Source organism: Homo sapiens, chromosome 12, assembly GCF_000001405.40.
Source record: "Homo sapiens chromosome 12, GRCh38.p14 Primary Assembly".
Lineage (NCBI taxonomy): Eukaryota > Metazoa > Chordata > Mammalia > Primates > Hominidae > Homo > Homo sapiens.
Genome location: NC_000012.12, coordinates 78029750 through 78049175, shown reverse-complemented (window position 1 = coordinate 78049175; position 19426 = coordinate 78029750). Strand labels below are relative to the sequence as shown.

At 38.4% G+C, this 19426-nt stretch overlaps 1 protein-coding gene across 31 annotated transcripts in view; it reads right to left on the bottom strand.

Moving 5' to 3' along the window:
- The window catches only part of NAV3 (neuron navigator 3), a 641149-nt gene that overhangs the window by 163835 nt on the left and 457888 nt on the right, over positions 1–19426 (bottom strand). For 3 of the 31 annotated variants that reach the window (XM_017020171.2, XM_017020173.3, XM_017020175.2), the window contains exon 1: positions 11790–13214. The exons of 27 other annotated variants lie outside the window; for them this stretch is intronic. In XM_017020171.2, the coding sequence (XP_016875660.1) occupies positions 11790–12312 (523 nt within the window). In that variant the 5' untranslated portion in view covers positions 12313–13214. Of the gene's footprint in view, positions 1–11789; positions 13215–19426 lie in introns of those variants that run through there. One more of the 31 variants, NM_001438019.1, reaches the window with a different exon arrangement.

Sequence of the window (19426 nt, the reverse complement as noted above, 5' to 3'; positions counted from 1 at the left end):
AGTGGATCCCACCCCTGTGGAGCCCAGCAAGCTAAGATCCACTGGCTTGAAATTCTCATTGCCAGCACAGCAGTCTGAAGGACACCTGGGACCCTGGAGCTTGGTGGGGGGAGGGGCAACTGCCATAACTGAGGCTTGAGTAGGTGCTTTTCCCCTCACAATGTAAACAAACCCGCTGGGAATTTTGGACTGGGCAGAGCCCACTGCAGCTTGGCAAAGCTGCTGTAGCCAGACTGCCTCTCTAGATTCCTCCTCTCTGGGCGGGGCATATCTGAAAGAAAGGTAGCAGCCCCAGTCAGGGGCTTACAGATAAAACTCTCATCTCCCTGGGACAGAGCACCTGGGGGAAGGGGCGGCTGTGGGCGCAGGCTCAGCAGACTAAAACACTCTTGCCTGCCAGCTCTGAAGAGAGCAGCGGATCTCCGAGCACAGTGTTCTAGCTCCGCTAAGGGACAGACAGCCTCCTCAAGTGGGTCCCTGACCCCCGTGCCTCCTGACGAGGAGACACCTCCCAGCAGGTGTTGATAGACTCCTCATACAGGAGAGCTCTAGCAGGCATCTGGCAAGTGCCCCTCTGGGATGAAGCTTCCAGAGGAAGGAAGAGGCAGCAATCTTTGCTGTTCTGCAGCCTTTGCTGGTGACACCCAGGCAAATAGGATCTGGAGTGAACCTCCAGCAAACTCCAGAAGACCTGCAGCAGAGGGGCCTGACTGTTAAAAGGAAAACTAACAAACAAAAAGGAATAGCATCAATGTCCACAAAAAAGACATCCACACAAAAACCCCGTTTGAAGGTCACAAACATCAGAGACCAAAGGTAGGTAAGTCCACAAAGATGAGAAAAAAAACAGTGCAAAAAGGCTGAAAATTCCAAAAACCAGAATGCCTCTTCTCCTCCAAAGGATCACAACTCTTCACCAGCAAGGGAACAGAACTGGACAGAGTATGAGTTTGACGAATTTACAGAAGTAGACTTTAGAAGGTGGGTAATAACAAACTCCTCCAAGCTAAAGGAGAACGTTCTAACCCAATGAAAGGAAGCTAAGAACCTTGAAAAAAGGTTAGAGGAATTATTAACTAGAATAACCAGTTTAGTGGAGAAGAACACAAATGACCTGATGGAGCTGAAAAACATAGCACGAAATTCTTCGTGAAGCATACATAAGTAGAAATAGCCAAATAGATAGAGGGGAAGGAAGGATATCCGAGATTGAAGATGAACTTACTGAAATAAAGCATAAAGACAAGATTAGAGAAAAAAGAATGAAAAGGAACAAACAAAGCCTCCAAGAAATATGGGACTATGTGAAAAGACCAAACCTAGGTTTGACTGGTATACCTGAAAGTGACAGAAAGAATGGAACCAAGTTGGAAAACACTCTTCAGGATATTATCCAGGAGAACTTGCCCAGCCTAGCAAGACAGGCCAACATTCAAATTCAGGAAATACAGGGACCACCACAAAGATACTCTTTGAGAAGAGCAACCCCAAGACACGTAATTGTCAGATTCACCAAAGTTGAAATGCAGGAAAAAATGTTAAGGGCAGCCAGAGAGAAAGGCTGATTACCCACAAAGGGAAGCCCATCAGACTAACAGTGGATCTCTCTGCAGAAACCCTAAAAGCCAGAGGGAGTGAGGGCCAATATTCAACGTTCATTTTTTTGTTTTGTTTTGTTTTGTTTTGCTTGAGACAGAGTCTTGCTCTGTCACCCAGGCTGGAGTGCAGTGGCACAATCTTGGCTCACTGCAAGCTCCGCCTCCCGGGTTCACACCATTCTCCTGCCTCAGCCTCCTGAGTAGCTGGGACTACAGGCACCCGTTGCCAGGCCTGGCTAATTTTTTGTATTTTTAGTAGAGATGGGGTTTCACCGTGTTAGCCAGGATGGTCTCGATCTCCTGACCTCATGATCCGCCTGCCTCGGCCTCTCAAAGTGCTGGGATTACAAGCGTGAGCCACCGCACCTGGCCTCAACATTCTTAAAGCAGAGGATTTTCAACCCAGAATTTCATATCCAGCCAAACTAAGCTTCATAAGCTTCACGTGCAAAGACTCACATAGGCTCAAAATAAAGGGATGGAGGAATATTTACCAAGCAAATGGAAAGCAAATAAAAGCAGGGGTTACAATTCTAGACTCTGATAAAACAGACTTTAAACCAGCAAATATAAAAAAAGACAAAGAAGGACATTGCATAATGGTAAGGGGATCAATGCAACAAGAAAAGCTAACTATCCTAAATATATATGCACCCAAAACAGAAGCACCCAGATTCATAAAGCAAGTTCTTAGAGACCTACAAAGAGACTTGGACTCCCACACAATAATAGTGGGAGACTTTAACACCCCACTGTCAGTATGAGACAGATCAATGAGACAGAAAATTAACAAAGATATTCAGGACTTGAACTCAACTCTGGACCAAGTGGACCTAATAGACATCTACAGAACTCTCCACCCCAAATAAACAGAATATACATTCTTCTCAGAACCACATCACACTTATTCTAAAACTGATCACATAATTGGAAGTAAAACACTCCTCAGCAAATGCAAAAGAATGGAAATCCTAACAAATAGTCTCTCAGACCAGAGTGCAATCAAATTAGAACTTAGGGTTAAGAAACTGACTTAAAACTTCACAACTACATAGAAACTGAACAACCTGCTCCTGAATGACCACGGGGTAAATAAGGAAATTAAGGCAGAAATCAATAAGTTATTTGAAACCAATGAGAATAAAGAAACTACATACCAGAATGTCTGGGACACAGCTAAAGCTGTGTTTAGAGGGAAATTCATAGCACTAAATGCCCACAGAAGAAAGCAGGAAATATCTAAAGATCAACACCTTAACATCACAATTAAAAGAACTAGAGAAGCAAGAGCAAACAAATTCAAAAGCTAGCAGAAGGCAAGAAATAACTAAGATCAGAGCAGAACTGAAGGAGATAGAGACACAAAAACCCTTCAAAAAATCAATAAATCCATAGCTGGTTTTTGAAAAGATTAACAAAATAGATAGACTGCTAGCCAGACTAATAAAGAAGAAAATAGAGAAGAATCAAATAGATGTAATAAAAAATGATAAAGGGGATATCACCACTGATCCCACAGAAATACAAACTATCGTCAAAAAATACTATAAACACTACTATGCAAATAAACTAGAAAATCTAGAAGAAATGGATAAATTCCTGGACACATACACCCTCCCAAGACTAAACCAGGAAGAAGTCGAATCCCTGAATAGACCAATAACAAGTTCTGAAATTGAGGCAGTAATTAATAGCCTACCAACCAAAAAAATGCCCAGGACCAGACAGATTCACAGTCGAATTCTAACAGAACTACGAAGAGGAGCTGGTACCATTCCTTCTGAGACTATTCCAATCAATAGAAAAAGAGGGACACCTCCCTAACTCATTTTATGAGGCCAGCATCATCCTGATACCAAAACGTGGCAAAGACACAACAGAAAAAGAAAATTCCAGGCCAATACCCCTGATGAACATCGATGTAAAAATCCACAATCACATACTGGCAAACTGAATCCAGCAGCACATCAAAAAGCTTATCCACTGGCCAGGTGCAGTGGCTCATGCCTGTAATCCCAGCACTTTGGGAGGCTGAGGTGGGCAGATCACGAGGTCAGGAGTTTGAGACAATCCTGGCCAACATGGTGAAACCCCATCTCTACTAAAAATACAAAATTAGCCGGGTATGGTGGCACACACCTGCAGCCCCAGCTACTCGGGAGGCTGAGGCAGGAGAATCGCTTGTACTTAGGAGGCGGAGGTTGCAGTGAGCTGAGATTGTGCCATTGCACTCCAGCCGGTGTGATGGAGCAAGACTCTGCCTCAACAAAAAAAAAGCTTATCCACCACGATCAAGTTGGGTTCATTGCTGGGATACAAGGCTGGTTCAACATATGCAAATCAATAAATGTAATCCATCACATAAAGAGAACCAATTGCAAAAACCACATGATTATCTCAATAGATGCAGAAAAGGCCTTCGATAAAATTCAACACCCCTTCATGCTAAGAACTCTCAATTACTAGATATTTATGGAATGTATCTCAAAATCATAAGGGCTATTTATGACAGACACACAGCCAATATCATACTGAATGGGCAAAAGCTGGAAGCATTCCCTTTGAAAACCTGCACAACACAAGGGTGCCCTCCATCACCACTCCTATTCAACATAGTATTGGAAGTTTTGGCAAGGGTAATCAGGCAAGAGAAAGAAATAAAGTGCATTTAGATAGGAAGAGAGGAAGTCAAATTGTCTCTGTTTGCAGATGACATGATTTTATATTTAGAAAACCCCATCTTCTCAGCCAAAAACTCCTTAAGCTGATAAGCGAATTTAGCAACGTCTCAGGATACAAAATCAACATGCGAAAATCACAAGCATTCCTATACACCAATAACAGACAAACAGAGAGCCAAATCATGAATAAACTCCCATTCACAATTGCTACAAAGAGAATAAAATACTTAGGAATACAACTTAAAGGTATGTGAAGGACCTCTTCAAAAAGAACTACAAACCACTGCTCCAGGAAATAAGAGAGGACACAAACAAACGAAAAAACATTCCATGCTCATGGATAGGAAGAATCAATATCATGAAAATGGTCATACTGCCCAAAGTAATTTAGAGATTCAATGCTATCCCCATAAAGCTACCATTGACTTTATTCATAGAGTTAGAAAAAACTACTTTAAATTTCATATGGAACCAAAAAAGAGCCCGTATAGCCAAGATAATCCTAAAGAAAAAGAACAAAGCTGGAAGCATCATGCTACCTGACTTCAAAGTATACTCCAGGGCCATAGTAATCAAAACAGCATGGTACTGGTACCAAAACAGATATATAGACCAATGAAACAGAACAGAGCCCTCAGAAATAACACCACACATCTACAATCATCTGATCTTTGACAAACCTGACACACACAAGCAATGGGGAAAGGATTCCCTATTTAACAAATGGTGCTGGGAAAACTGGCTAGCCACATGCATATAACTGAAACTGGATCCCTTCCTTACACTTTACACAAAAATTAACTCAAGATGGATTAAAGACTTAAACCAAAGACCTAAAACCATAAAAACCCTAGAAGAAAACCTAGGCAATACCATTCAGGACATAGGCATGGGCAAAGACTTCATGAGTAAAACACCAAAAGCAATGGCAACAAAAGCCAAAGTTGACAAATGGGATCTAATTAAACTAAGGAAATTCTGCACAGCAAAAGAAACTATCATCAGAGTGAACAGGCAACCTACAGAATGGGAGACAATTTTTGCAATCTATCCATCTGACAAAGGGCTAATATTCAGAATCTACAAGGAACTTAAACAAATTTACAAGAAAAAAACAACCCCATCAAAAAGTGGGTGAAGTATATGAACAGACACCTCTCAAAAGAAGACATTTTATGCAGCCAACAAACATATGAAAGAAAGCTCATCATCCACTGGTCATTAGAGAAATGCAAATCAAAACCACAATGAGATACCATCTCACGCCGGTTAGAATGGCGATCATTAAAAAGTCAAGAAACAACAGATGCTAGAGAGGTTGTGGAGAAATAGGAACGCCTTTACACTGTCGGTGGGAGTATATATTAGTTCAACCACTGTGGAAGACAGTGTGGCAATTCCTCAAGGATCTAGAACCAGAAATACCATTTGATCCAGCAATCCCATTAATGAGTATACAACCAAAGGATTATAAATCATTCTATTATAAAGACACATGCACACGTATGTTTATTGCAGCACTGTTCACAATAGCAAAGACTTGGAACCAACCCAAATGCCCATCAATGATAGACTGCATAAAGAAAATGTGGCACATATACACCATGGAATACTATGCAACCATAAAAATGGATGAGTTCATGTCCTTTGCAGGGACATGGATGAAACTAGAAACCATTCTCTGCAAACTAACACAGGAACAGAAAACTGAACACCACATGTTCTCACTCACAAGTGGGAGTTGAACAATGAGAACACATGGACACAGGAAGGGGAACATCACACACCGGGGCCTGTTGGTGGGTGGGGGGATCAAGGGGAGGGATAGCATTAGGGGAAATACCTAATGTAGATGACGGGTTGATGGGTGCAGCAAACGACCACAGCATGTATACATCTATGTAACAAACCTGCACATTCTGCACATGTATCCCAGAACTTAAAGTAAAATAAAAAAAAAAACTATGATCATTAGGATCCTAATTATTTCAAGGTGTTCTGGGTGTACTCAGAATACTTGAGGTAAATTTGCCTTATGTAGAAAGGACACATTTGGAATCTGGGGAATAAACTAGAGGCCTTTTATTTTTTTATTTCATTTTCATTTTTAGACAGAGTCTCACTCTTTTGCTCAGGCTGGAGTTCAATGGCACCATCTTGGATCACTGCAAACTCCACCTCTGGAATTCAAGCGATTCCCCTGCTTCGGCCTCTCAAGTAGCTGATATCAGGCCCTCGCCACCATGCCCGGCTAATTTTTGTATTTAGTAGAGATGGGGTTTCACCATGTTGGTCATAATGCTCTTGAACTCCTGACCTCAAATGATCCACCTGCCTTGGCCTCCCAAAGTGCTGGGATTTCAGGCGTGAGCCACCATGCCCGGCTGAGGTCTTTTCTTATGGAAGCAATAGCTTTTGAAGTCTTTTATTAGACTCATGGACAAAGACTGACAAACATTGAATGGTTTTATTTTTAATTACTTCTCCAGTTTCTACAGTTCTACCAATGATACTAGAGTTCAAGTAAATTCCTAGGCATCTAAACCCAAAATGTTTGTATCTAATGAGCATGAAACAAATAGCTCTGCAAGTATGACTAACGCTGGCCTGATACAATCACCACCTATCAACTGGGGGCAGAAGTGTCCTTAAGCCATTTTGTTGATAGTCATACAATACTTCCCCAAGCTAGTGACCTTCTAAAGCCAGTGAGTCTAGATAATAGAAAGAACATGAAAAGAGAGTAGTGGAAGCACAGTTTTTATTCTGTTCAATCTGGACTGAAGAGGATGTCTAATGATGGGCACTTTCAATAAAAGTGAAAACAGAAAGGAGGAGGGAATTGGAATGGATAGATTAAGAGAGGGACAGGGAAGGAGAGGAGACAGAGAAAAAGGAAGTAGATGGGACGGCTGGGAAGGGAATGGAATGGAAACAGGATGGAAGAAAAAGAAAGGGAACAAAAAGAAAAGCAAAAAATAGCATGTATTAAATTACACTATGAAAATTGTCACATAGGGAAGTCAAGATGCGTATCTATAATCTGTTTTAGGAATATAGCTAACTATTTAATCTGTTAATTTACTTCCTTAATACTCAGGCCAGATTTTTAAAAATCTATAACAAATGTGCCCCTTTAACACCTATCATCACAATCATACAGTTGGTGGATTTCAGAGATTGTCTTGCCTTATCTCTTGGCCATAGCATTCATCTGTCTCACATGGGACAAGGCCATCTGCCTCTGCCTGAAAACTCCAACATTGGAAAGGCCTCCACCTCACCAGTAAGAGATGGCTCCTTCCAGTAGCAGGTCAAAATGTAAAATATTTATGGGGGATAAGCAAAAATTTGTCTCCCTTAAACTTTCACCCTGTGGTTCCAGTGGATCTGAAACCAAATGAACAAATTTACACTGTCTTTACCAAGGCAGTCACTCAAATATTGCAACACAACGGCTAATTCCTTTACTATATTTTTCAGGCAAACATTACTACTTTGTTCATTATTCCTCACTTTGGGTGGTTGACGAAACAGCCACCATTGTGCTGCCAGCCTGTAAATTTCTTCCCTTGAATTTACAAATCATTTGAACAATTAAAGTATACTTAATAATAAGATCATTATTTCAAACATAACGTACTAAGAAACTTTCCTGAAGTAAATATTTTTAAAGAATAATAAAACACTTGTTGGGATCTCATGCACATGACAAACTTTCTCTACACTAAGTTCACACAATCACTAATCCTATAGATTAACATTATTCTTTTAGAACTCAGAACTGTTAATAACCCTTGAGACTGATCACATTCTTCCTGGAAATTCTTCCCATACTTCTCCTCATACATATAATATAGAGTATTTCAGAGATGGCTATAAAGAATTCTATCTTTCACTTCCAAATAATCTGAGAGAACTATGAAGAAAAAGAAGTTTTGTAGAGAAAATCTTACAGACTGGAAATAAAATTATTACAGACAAGGAAGAGACATACAAAGAAGAAATTTATTCAAACTGGGTCAAAATAAGTAGTGAAGGGGACAAAATTGGAGAAGCACTAAACCTAAGATTCAATATGAAAGATTTCATACAGTTATTGGCATCTTAGATTGTAGGTGAAAGATAAAAAGTCATGAAAGAAGGAGTATATTGAGATGTCCTTTTTTTTACTTGGTGGGGGAGGTACAAGTAATTGACCTCACACAGATTCCTAGAACGCATCATTACATGTTCCTATCCCTTTCCCCCTTCCCCCAGGAAAACTTTTAAGTTGTAATCCAGCTGCATCTCAATCATTTGCCAACTGGAATATTAAAATTAATATCTCAATTATGTTCCATCTTTTCATATTAATTTTAAGAACGTTGTATTTTCAGACATGCTGTTTCACTAAATATATTTTCACATCTACTTCATTTCCTTTTCAATTTCTTTTTTCCAATCCAACAGGTATCTTAGATCCTTGGATTCTTCTAACTGAATTCATTGTTTATCTGGTTTCTCTCATGTTTTAGAACCAAAGCCTCCCTCATTCCTTAGGTTTTTTTCATCATGACATTCACTTATGACACTGCCCTCCTCATGACAGACAAATGGACCTTTTCTTTCCAACGCTTATTGAGCAAAACATAACTGCTGCCTTATTCATGTCATGAAAGATAATAACCAAAGAAAATTTATTGCAGTAAATGTTTTCAATGACCCACAAAAGGCAAGATAAAACTAAATGTACTTACAAACCCCCTAAGGACTGATTGCATGGTCTTAAATATCCTATAAATTTGTATCTGAGTGAGGTCCAGAGGCTTTGGGGGAAAAACACAATTGCAAAGTCTAAATATAAAAGCAAAAATAAAATTAAATGTTTAGCAACAATACAAGTTACCAGAAAAATGCACGTGAGAAATGCATTTAATCACAGCAATGTTGTGTCTCCTCCTGCTTGCATAATCTCAAAGTCAACCATTATTCCTGAAAGAGGCTTCCTATGTGTCAAACACAATGGAATGGCTTCCACACATCTTCCAGAATGGTATATTCTGAAATCTACTAGAGTTTTTAACATTGGTGCAAAGTGCTTTCTCACTGCTCATAAGGTGTTCTTAGTAGAGAAAAAAAAAATAACAGCATCAATTTGGTACTCCTACGTTACTATTTGGTGGCAGACAGACCATTTAATCTGTGATCTTGCTCTTAATTTTTAGGCTTTAATTATACACATTGTAATTAACACTGCCAGCATTGCCATCTTTCAATAGGAAATCAAATCTGTATGAATAAATCTTATTCTCAGAGAATTATGCCCTCTACCCCATCCATATTACAAATGTTATGTAGAGTACAGCTTCCTGATTTATTGTGTGAAGTAACTCTAGTTTTGTGGATGGCCCTAGTAGTGATTTGGATGAAAATTTTTAAACTCCTCTGGTTAATCTTGACACTTTGGAGAAAAATAGCAAAATATGGCCAAAAGCTTTATAGTTACTTTTAAAATGTGCTCCTATACGGTTATAGGACAAACCTTAATCTGTCTGATTTAGGAGGATATCTAAGAGTAAAGAATTAACCTCAAGGAACCCCACCTAAAAACTAACTTGGAAGAGGCCATTTTGAGTCGTAAACAGAACCTATTGAAGCACGTGGTAGAAATTCTGGAATTCCTGTGTGCTGTGGGCGTAGATATATTCAACAACTTAACATGGATCATTATTTAGGGAATTGCATCAGAATGCTTCATTATCTGGAGATATGATTATTCATATCACAGCTATTTGAATAAACTTCCCCTTACTTTTTCACTTGCATTTTTGAATACTGGCATAAGTAGGAAAAAAAATACTTAAACAGAATAATCATATAAATACAATAAGCAGATGCTCTTGAAAAACCAAGGCATACCGGCTTCTTTTGAGAGGTTACCCTCTGACCAAAATGCTTCAAGTTATTTATGCACAAAAAGGCACATGTCATATATACACCCACCCACAGCATGCTATAATTTAACTGAGTAAGCATCAAATGCTGTCAGGGGACTGCACTCTGTTCATATCTTTGTAAATACTTAAGAGATACTGAGAACAAGATAAATAATACCACTTCAAAAGCAAAAGAGGAATATTATCTGATTCTACAGTTTCAGAGGATCCAAAAAAGAAAAAGCTTCATAAAGATTAAGACTTTCTCTCGCCTTTGTGCTGCACATAGCCCTTTATGAGAAGCAGTTCATCACAGAAATCACACAATGGTGCAAAAGTAAATCTTCAGTGTTGGAGCACCTGGTGTATTCAGATTCAGAAATCACTATTCTGACAACTGTGGAAAGATTACTCTTCTAAAACCAAACTGACATGAAAAATTGAACAATATTTGCCTCTGCTATCTCTATAAGCTTTCTTCTTCTAAAACTGGTTCACTAAAAGAATCCAGAAAACCTCATAAAACATCTTGTAACAGGAGGGTCTACATTAAGAGTAAAAGCAAGCCTGCATTTAGCATTAGTTTCTTGAATCAGAAACAAAGAGATCACTTCCCAGGTTTAATTCCTTTCAACTTAAGGAGGCCAATATGAAGCCCTTTGTGGAAATACACATTGACATAAAATATGATATGGCCAGGAATTTAATACTTATGGAAGAAGGGACTGTGTGATGTAAATATATTTTGATACAAGACTGAATTCAGAAATAACAATTAAAATGTTCACATGTTAGCTGTTTAGGTAGGTGGCACAGTTGACATTTAAAGTTTAGTCACAAACTATAGAATCACTTGACCTCTTCTTATTTAGTTAAAGATTATGCCAGAAGTTACTACTGAAACTCATGTTATCAAAAAGGCCTAGTTTCTAAAGTATGAAAACAGTTCATAGTCATCTACATAGTAGCTTAAATACTTATAATGTGCACATGCAGAACTAGTTTTTGTCAAACACTGAAACAAAAGAGAAAAGAAAAAAGGTAGAAGCCAGCAGCGGCCCCTGTATTTCTGAAAGTGTTACTACAATAAAAAGGGCTTGTCACTGAGGTATAGAAGAAGCCTTCTATTCAGGTAGCACGGAGGCAGCAGAAGAAACTTAACTCTACAGAAAATTTACCCAGGAGGCCCTTCATTATTCATCCCTTATCTGTGATGAGGTCACCTTGAGGGAAGTTGAACAAATAGGCCCCTTTAATGAGTAGGTGAAAAACATGTTTGGAGTTTTAAAATGTTAACTTATTTATGGATGTCTAGAAGGTACTGGACACTAGGTGAGGCTAATAATGCCCATGGCAGATTTCCGGAATTTATTTTCTCCAAATGAACCTTACCAGTGGTGCTCATAGCTCAGTTTTACCAAAAAATTAAAAAAAAAAATCACTTCAAGAAACAGGAATTTAAAATGTAACTATGTATTTTTAAAAATCAGTCTAAAAACATGAAAGCTATTTGGCAAATGCAAATAATTTCATAAGAGACTATGAAATTTCTTAAGATCCCATACACGTTTTTAGGAGCAAATTGGACTTACCTAATAAGTCAGTGTAAAGTGCCTGTTCTAGATCACCCAGCATGGTAAGGATCACCTCCTCATCCAGATGAGCTGTCCCTTCCCGCAAACAGCTTTCTCCCTCCTCTTCAGCCCAGCTTCTGCTGATGCTGCTTGGCTTGGAGGACACGTTTTCATCTTCAGACCTACTATCTTCATCACTCTCACCTTCCAAGCCTCTTCTTGCAGACAATTCCTCTAAGTCTTCACTGTCTGACTGGCTGCCCCCAGCAGGCAGGAGGTTCCAGGCTGAGCTGCTGGTGTGATACAGGGACTGCACAGACCGCGAGAGAAACTTGGACAGTGAGCGCCGCTCTGCATAGTTGGCTTCTCTCTGGCTGGCCTTGGCAGCATTTCCAAACCAGTTGGAAATGCGCACCGTGGGTCTCCTCTCCCCATCACTGGTGAGGGAAAGATTGGTCAGAGACTTTTGTTTCTGAAGGCAAGCTCCCTTTCTCCTTACTTCTTTGCTCCGGAACACAGAGAGTTCAGCAGGCCGCTGCATGATTCTTCCAGTGGCTCCTTCCTTTCAATTGGACTTCATATTGTCTTGTTACACTGTGATTGTAACTGATCCATTTGATTTTGATTATCACATGCACTTCAATAAAAGCTCAAGCTCACACATTCACAGAAGATTCTAGAGATATAGTATATATAATTATTTGCCCCCAATTTAGCTTGACACATCACTTTACTAATCAGCAGTACTTACAAATATTTTGCTCGAATATATCTGAAGCAGAAAAGAGTTCACCAAAGACTCTCCTCCAGCTGAAAAGTAGTCCAGGAAGCCAACTACGTTTGCCCGTCTTCATCCAATCACATGTCTCAGCAGGAGGATGGGTCCACATTTCCCTCTGTTGCTTCTGTGTCCCGAAACGCCAGGAGGTGAAGCACGAGCTGAGGTCTCTTGCTTTTTGCTTTTTTTTTTCTTTCCCCTGCCTTTCACCAGCCCTTAACTGACCTAGGTCTGTAACCCTTTACTCTAACGAGCTGACACAGTGCAGCAAGTACAGCCTGCTCATAGGAGCCCAGGAAGAGCAGGAATTAAGCACTGACGCCCAGCCCTGCACAAGCCTCTTACATTTTAGTATTCCACCTGCATTCTCAGATCTATGGCTCTTCCTTGCTGCTGCAGTGGATGCTGCTGGCTGCCATGGCAGCAAACATCCTGCCAAATTAAAACAGAGGCACGGGAACGGCTGTCCAGCGTAGAATGCCACAGGTTTCTGAGCCAAGCCTGTACGAGATCTTCCACTATTAACCTTATGCACATTTAAATGACTCTCAGCCACCCAATCTCAAACACGGACACACACTCACACCCTCACATACACAACACACACTCCCCGATGCCGAGAATGACAGACTAATTCTCTGTAGCTGCAGGCAGCTGAAGCAGGCAGATCTCCCTTCTGAATGTTGGGATTTGTGCTGTAAAAGCACAAATCAAATTCAAGAGTGTAAAGGACCTAAAAAATGAAGCATGACACTCTCCACCCGCTAGGAGATAATGCTTTAAAGGGAAAGACTTCCCTAATCTTTTAAAGAACAAAGTCAAAGCCTTCTTATTTTGAATCCTAAAATCCTAATGTGATGATAAAGATTTCTTACAGCCTTTTTGTAAAAACAAAAAGGAAATAGAAAGAAAAAAATAACTCAAAAGGGTTTTCCCTTGATATTTTGACTCAAAGCTTAAAATTGAAAGTTTATGGTCAAGTGTGTGGAACATAATAATGTTACAGATAACACAAAATGCACATTGTGTCTTTTGATATTGCATTTTTCCAGGTCTATTTCATAAGCCTATCACAGCATAATCAGCTCTTATTTCTTAATGTTTTCATAAAAACAGAAAACCTAAAGATAATTTTCTTGTATTTACCTTGTACTGGTACGTACACTATACCACCACAAAATTCTGATTTTAGGACAACTTTAAAAAACAAATATATAGTATAGCAGAAATCATGGGTACCATTGACAGTTAAGAAGACTATCGACCTTTCAGTATTTAACTTCTGAAGATTTTCTGCTCACAAACAGAAAAATAGGGATTTCTCCTTTATCAAATGAGGGAAAATGGAGAAATATGCAGAGATATTATCTTCATCATTTTCAGAGCTAATGTGGCAAAATTAATTGTGATTTTCTACCTCCTATTGCCAATCTCAATAGAGGAAATACCCAATCTCATAACTATATATATTAGCATTATAATATGCATTGCCTATAACTTTACACATAATAACCACTTACTTTGTAAAGTTAATTATTCCTTATGCCCCACCTTTCAAGGTAGATCAGACTTAGACCCATTTTATAGATATGAAAAGGAAATTAGCTGGAAAGAACAGCAATTATTTGTGACAAAATTCTGCAATAAAGAAATCTGTGAATTATTGATACTCATTCTCAATTCTATACTTTTTAAATACTACTCGTTTATATAAAATGTGCTAAATAAAATTACAGTACAAATATCAGATAATTGAAACTGACAGTTATGCTCCTAAAAACACAATTTTGTAAAGTATTTTTTGGAAGACCAAAATGACACTCCCCTTAGAATTCCTAAGTAGAAAATCTTTTTTCTTTCATTTTGAGTTATTGTGACACAGTGAATTTCCAAGTCCTGAGACCATAGTGAAATTTGTTCAAATTATGAAATTTCAATGTATTTAACATTTGTTACACTAGTATATATGCTAATATACCCTAAAGCCTTACAGATTCACAAAAAATGCAATTCTAATGCTTTATATATCAAATGAGTTGACCTTATTCATCTGTAAATAAAAGCAATATTTATGCCCTTTCCTTATTCAAGACTGCTTATACATATACCAATCAGTTTAAACCTGTGGTTCTCAAGCTTCATATGTTCAGAACCACTCGGAGGGCTTATCAAAACACAGTTCGCTGTGCCCCAGCCACATAACTGCTCATTCAGTTGGACTCGGAGGGTCCTGGGACTTTGTATTTCTAACATATTTCCAGATACTGCTGGCTCTGAAAACCCCCTTTGAGAACTACTATGCTGAGATTAGTGGTTTTCAACTGGGGATGGTTTTTCCCCCAAGGGACATTTGGCAATATCTGGAAACATTTTTCGTTATCACAACTGTGGGTGTGGTGGTGACATCTAAGGGGAAGTGGCCAGTGATGTTGCTAAACATCCTACAATGATAAACCACCCCCATGCAAAAAAGAATTCTGCATTTCACAACGTCCACAGTGCCGAAGTTGGGAAATCCTGAATTAGATTGTTATATTGCATTTACAAATGGTTTAGAAACTTCAGTGGCATTCAATACAAAGATGTATTTTGCTGACATTAATGTCCACTCTGTTTGTTACAGCTCTCTCTCAGGTATTCTTTATTCTAACAACCATGCTACAAGAGCAATCCTAGTCTGGGACATGTTGATTTTATGACCAAAGGAAAAGAGAGGTGAGAGATCCAAGCAATGGCTCTTAAGTTTCTGCTCAGGAACATCCCATGTCATTTTTCCACTTGTATTTCATTTGTCAGATTAAATCACATGGTTCTTCCTGATTCAATGAGACAGGAAATTTAATCCTTCTGGAGGGGTGAACCCTGGAAAGGATGGGCTCAGTCCAATGGAGCCAGCAAGGAGGGGATTGTAGAGAAGGCTTATCAAAAGGGGGTTTCTGTCTCTTTGTTCAAAGATATTGTTATTAACTTGTGGTTACAGTAGGTTTGTCCCAGAACTACATCAGTCCACATTTACTCTGAGCGACAGTGGGGAACCCACTTATTCCTTCTCTGGAGAGCGCCATCCTGCTTGCTTTGGGGGTACATTCATATATGAATGTTTTTATATTTGTTTGTATTCACACATATAGATGTATGTTATACAAGGAAGAGGAGGAAGGTGCAGTGCAAAGGAGACAAATACACCCAGTCAGTAGGAAAAATGTGAATCATTCTAATTACGCCAAGACCTAAAATAAGTTATAGCTATTATAATGTGCTGGAAAGGAATGCTTTTCAGCTCTTTAGTAAACATAATTATAATGTGGCTATTTAAGTAAAAGACCTAAACTGATTTGAATTATCTGAGCTTGATCTTCTTGATCTTTATAAACATTCAAAAAAAAAAGGGCAATTTCAGTGATCATTTACAGAGATTGTAAATGTCAGATATTTCCCACTTTTAATACAAAGTCTGGTAGTCAGTAAAAGCACATGTAACCATTCGCTTATCCTTCTGGTTAACCTAAATTCTTCTATTTCTAAAATGGTTTCCTGAATTCAACCAATAATTTTAATATTACTTTTTTACAAATGACATGCCAGCTTTATTGATATTGAGCCAGTCCAGCACCTATGAACATTTTTCAGTTGAATATAAATTCCAGATAAAGGTTAAGAAGTGAATTAAACAAATGTGTTACATGTTGGTGGATAGTCTTATGCAAAAAAAAAGGGCAAGTGTGAACCTATAGAAGAAAAATTGAAAAACTTCCTTGAGTACCAGTGGGATGAAAATTTGGGCTCGCTTTACATTTGGCAGAATCACTTGGAAGATGATGAAAGGGATGGCCTCTGAGGACAAATTCTTTCTGTCAATGAATGTGAGAATAAAACTCAAGCCAAAGCAGTAAAATCTGTACCATTAATTCAGCCAGCACTGTAATATTGAGGTCATGATATGAATCTTAGAGGAAAGGCAGGAAGCAATAAGCTACTTCTTCAATGGCAGAAATTATATAATACATTTCACCTGACTATAATAATTATTGGAGCTACCATCATCAGATTGGGTAAATACAACTAGGTTTCTTCACAAAGAACATAATAAGCAAAAGCAAATTTAAGTGACGTACTTAAAAATTTTGGAGAGGTGCACTGAAGACTTATGAAGAATATTCAAATTGAAAAAGTCATTTATCCAGTATTCTACTTTATTGAGTGTCATGCATTTCTGATATTTATCTTCAAACCATAATTTATTACCTTTTTAAACTTTCATTACCATTTAATGGCAAAGACAATGTTTTTATAATGTCAAGTGAGTTACTGCATTGGTGAAAATTTAAACAGCTAAGCTCTCCAACTAACTTAGCAAATCCCTCTAACACATCTGCATTGCAATGTGAACCACTCAAGTTTGCTCTTTAATAGTATGGCAAATCTTTACATGTCATACATCCTGTGGGTCATGCAATAGGGATGATTTTCACATTTGTGTAAGCACAAAAAGACTTTTTTCTGGGTTACATAACTCAAAAGTAGAGGAGAAATAGTTTCAGACATGGATTTTTCAGGGGCTCAGTTATTTCCGACAATGGCCTTGAATTTGGTCTCTCCTGATTTAGGTTCTGTTTCCTCTATGTTTGTTTCATTTGAGGGTGGAGGTCACTGTTAGCAGGTCTAAGCTTCTCTTTTGTTAGTTTTAGGTGTAGTGGAAAAAGAGACCACTTCTCTTTTTTTTTATTATTATTATTTTTTTATTATACTTTAAGTTTTAGGGTACATGTGCACATTGTGCAGGTTAGTTACATATGTATACATGTGCCATGCTGGTGCGCTGCACCCACTAACTCGTCATCTAGCATTAGGTATATCTCCCATTGCTATCCCTCCCCCCTCCCCCCACCCCACCACAGTCGCCAGAGTGTGATATTCCCCTTCCTGTGTCCATGTGATCTCATTGTTCAATTCCCACCTATGAGTGAGAATATGCGGTGCTTGGTTTTTTGTTCTTGCAATAGTTTACTGAGAATGATGATTTCCAATTTCATCCATGTCCCTACAAAGGACATGAACTCATCATTTTTTATGGCTGCATAGTATTCCATGGTGTATATGTGCCACATTTTCTCTTATAACAACCTCAGGAAAAGTCCTGAGATTGAGTCTTATTTGTTCTGATCAAACTTGATTGGGTCACACATCCAGTCCTCAAACAGTCACTGCAGTCAATGAATAGATTGTTCTCATTGGCTCCACTTATATCAATTTCAGTTAGATCACATGAGCAGAGAATTCTCCCCAAAGAAAATCAAGGTGCTGTTATCAGAAGATGGGGCAATGGATACCAGACACACAAAACGACACCAGTACTTCCAGGTAGGCTTAATACACAGCAATAGAGCTTAAGCTATAGAACTCCTAACTCACCTAAACCCCTTTCTAGACACTATACATTTTATTTTCTGTACTATTTTCAGGACTCTGAATGTTATATAGACTTCACAAATTTATAAAGCCTGCATCTTACCCTGGCAAGACTAACTTCCTCAGAATTCTGTATCATGAAGGCCACTTCACTTGGGAAGCAGAATTATTCCTCACTGAGGCCCCTACAGCAACCATGAGCAATAAAAGTTCAACAATAACAATAGTGTTGAAGCTTGGGGTTGCAGAAAATCAGAGAACTATCGAAACCTCAGTAAGTTTAGGAGAAATGCCCAATTTTACAAAAAGAAACTAATGAAAAGAGTAAGTTAAGAAGAATTTGTTTCCCATTATTTTCATGTTATTCCACAATTTCATTGTTCATTAGAATTCTACAATATGCATGTCTGATCTTCTTTTAAGTTCTGCATGACTCTTTACAGCTAAGTTAGTTGTTTCCATGTGCCTATTTATTCATTTATTTGTGGTGTTAAATTTTATCTATTTGTTTCTTACTTTTTCAAAGGAGAGCTCACTTCTTAGTCACATTTGTTTTCCCAAATTTTGAGATGTCTGGCATGTGTAAGATGCCAGGTGATAATTACTGAAAAGACTGATGGAGGAATAATACCATACCTCACAACAATCTTCTGAGTTTATTAAGTATCATCATATTCACCACACAGAAAAGGGAACCAGGGAGCAATTCACAGTGCAGAGGCCAAATAATCGCTAAATAATTGCAGTGCTGAAGCCAAAATTTATTTTTTCCAATTCCTAGAACATTTCTCTTTCCACATTTCAAACAGTCTTGGAAGGGGTATTCTGTGGGCCAGTCTGAGCTAGGACCTGGCAATAAATTCAGGTGCTTAGTGCTTTGTGGTTTCACTAGCATCCAGAACTCAGAAAGATGAAAGCCAATAAAGGATGGAGATTCTGAGAAAGAGAGGCATCATTAATATAGAAAACATCTCATGAGCTTTAGAATTCTGAGAGGTTCATTCTTTTATAGGGTTATTCTATTACAGGCTTAATATCCCTTATCAGAAATGCTTGGGACCAGAAGTGTTTTGCATGTTGAATTTTTTCAGATTTTGGAATATTTGCCTATACATAATGAGATATCTTGGGGATGGGACCCAAGTCAAAATTCACCTATGTTTCATATGCATCTTATACACATAGCCTGAAGGTAATTCTATACATTTTTAAAAATTTTTTGCATGAAACAAAGTTTATGTGCATTGAACCATCAGAAATCAAAGGTGTCTCTATCTCAGTCACCTAACAGGATTGTACAATCTGTGGTTTTGTGGCATCACCATCATTCCTGACTGAATTTATATGCTACTAATAGGCAATTATTTTATTGCAATTATTTATACATAAGTACTTACCAATAAAAAATATGACATAGCATTAATGCAGTGAAAAAATAATGTGTTCAAGGTCACTAAGCAGCACAGTA